General features: G+C 53.6%; 1 annotated feature.

The window, feature by feature from the left end:
• Positions 1,248-1,925: an enhancer, noted in NCBI's record as "H3K4me1 hESC enhancer chr20:57362050-57362726 (GRCh37/hg19 assembly coordinates)". NCBI's record gives its function as "activates a minimal SCP1, AML or CMV promoter by ChIP-STARR-seq in naive H9 embryonic stem cells {active_cell/tissue: H9 hESC(naive)}" and the evidence as "EXISTENCE:reporter gene assay evidence [ECO:0000049][PMID:30033119]".

The following is a 2,531-nucleotide window of genomic DNA, read 5'->3' on the forward strand; positions in this document are numbered from 1 at the left end:
GGGAAGGAAAAAAAATTCTAAGTACTCCGTGGCATTCGGTCTTTCAGGAAGTCATTATTAGGTGCCACCTGTATGCCCAGCTCATGCTAGGCATTGCAGAGGCCACTAAAGAGCTGGAGGCATTAGCTCTGTCCTCCAAGGAATCAAAATGTAGTTGGACATAAATGATCCAAAGAAATTGCTGGAACCCAAAGAAGAGGGCACATGATGTTGGATGTGTATCCTCTCTCATTCCCAGCAGGGATGAGGATGGGGAGATGGCAACGTGGACCACCCTCACTTCCTCGGGCCGCCACATGAAAAAGTCTAGCACAGGGACTCGCAGCCACGGGCAGTTTTGCACCACCCACCTCCACCCCCCGCCCCCCCCCCCCCCCCCCCCGGGGACATTTGGCAAGTCTAGAAATATTTCTTTTGGATTGTTGATTACTAGGGATGTGGGGAAATGCTACTGGCATCTAATGGGTAGAGAGTCCAGGGATGCTGATGAACATTCCAAAATGCACAGGACAGGCCCACAACACAGAATTATCCAGCCCCAGATGCCAGTGGTGCTGAGATTGGGAAAACCAGCTCTGGCACTGCAGCTAAGAGCACGGGTTTGGCCGGGCATGATGACTCACGCCTGTAATACCAGCCCTTTGGGAGTCCAAGGCAGGTGGATTACCTGAGGTCAGGAGTTCGAGACCAGCCTGGAGCCTGGCCAACATGGTGAAACCCTGTCTCTACTAAAAAATACAAAAAGTTAGGCAGGCATGGTGGCAGGCACCTGTAAGCCCAGCTACTCGGGAGGCTGAGGTAGTAGAATCGCTTGAACCCAGGAGGTGGAGGTTGCAGTGAGCTGAGATTGCACCACTGCACTCCAGCCTGGGCAACAAGAGACTCGGTCTCAAAAAAAAAAAAAAAAAAGCACGGGTTTAAAGTCCCCCAGACGTGATTGCATGTGGGCCTGGTACTTCACTGCTGGCCTCTTCTGTCTCCTCATCAGTAGATTGAGGATGATGATTGTGAGAATGGAATGAGATGGTTCACAGAGAAGGCTTGAGGGCAGTGCCTGGCTCACGCATTTCAAGTGTTTGTTCTCACCGTTATTAAAAACCTGCAAACTGCCAAACTAGGACAGAAACTCGTGAGCTTTTTGCTCCTCAACCCAGGTTTTTCTTGCTCATGGAACACTCCCCAAGAAAGTGCAAGGCGCAGCTTGGCTTGTCTTGGGATCTGCCTTGGTGCTGCTCCCAGATGTATGCAACCAGCTCTCGGGATCCCTATGGCCAGCCGGCCCCACCTTTGGGGGGTGAGATGTGTGGACAGGGCCCCAAGCTGACTCATCCCCTCTAGAAGACAAGTGTCCATTCCCTCTCACTCCTATTGTTGTCTTAGGGATGAAGGGTTTTCATGTACAAGCCTAGGGTTTGGGACGGTGTGGGGTTTGGAGGCCTTCCTGGGGATGCCAAGGGGCTTGAACCAGAGACGGTCTTTCTCTGTTCCAGCAGGAAAAAAGCTGATGAGTCCAGCTCCAAGCTCTGCCCCTGGGGCTCCCTGCAGTGCAGAAGGGGCAGGTCCCACCAACTCCCATTAGGGGACAGCATCACCTGGCAGGGGAGGAGGGCTGCTCAGGGCTGGCCTGGCCAAGAGCTCTCTGACGCATGTTCCTTGTGGCATGACCAGGATGCTGAGCTGGGACTCGGGGACTTGGGCCTGCCAGCTGGAAGCCAGCAGGGAAGGCTGTTGTTGGTTAACTCTCTGGTAACAATTTGTACAAACGCCACCAGGCCCGTGGAAGCCTCGCTTTCGTCGGAGCTGTGGTTCCCCAAAAGCCTGTTGCAGATCCAGAGTCCTCTGCACGTCTTTTCCTTTCCTTCCTTCCAGAAGCCTGAACTTGACCTCAGTGGCAGGGCTGCGGCGACCTCGGCTGCCCTTGCTGCCTCTTACCCAGCCTTCTGTCTGGCCCATTCTTTGTTTAGGTTTTTTGGAGAATCATCCGGGGGTGTTTGCATTCTACTTCCCTTCCCCAGACCCAGCAGCCCCCACCCGCGGCAACAGCAGCCTCCACACATCAGCGGCACTCAGCGGCCTCTGTGGGCCAGACCGCGGGGTGTTTAAACGCTCCAGCCGCTTCAAGGTCTCCCACGTCCATCCGCTCAGTAATACGTGATGTATCATGCATACAACTATGAACAAAACCAACCCCTGTGCATGCATCCATGCTGCGTGCAGCCTGGTAGCTGTATAATACCAGCTGTAATAGAGACATTTGAGAATTGTGCACACACACAAATATAAAATTACAGCTGTGATCAGAACTGTGACAAGAGGTACACAGTGGTGACAGAGCCTGAAATTGAGGGACTAGTCAGAGAGGCCAGGGGAGGCTCCCCAGAGAAGGTGAGGACTGGGCCTTGGGAAGGAATAATGAGGGCCACCTGAGTCAAGGAGGGAGCAAAAATGAGCCTGACATGAGCTTGACTCCCAGAGAGAGGGATTGAGGAGGAAGCCAGGGGAGCTGGAGCCCAGAAAGCAAAGATTGTGAT

The sequence above is a fragment of the Homo sapiens genome, chromosome 20, assembly GCF_000001405.40.
Source record: "Homo sapiens chromosome 20, GRCh38.p14 Primary Assembly".
Classification (NCBI taxonomy): Eukaryota; Metazoa; Chordata; class Mammalia; order Primates; family Hominidae; genus Homo; species Homo sapiens.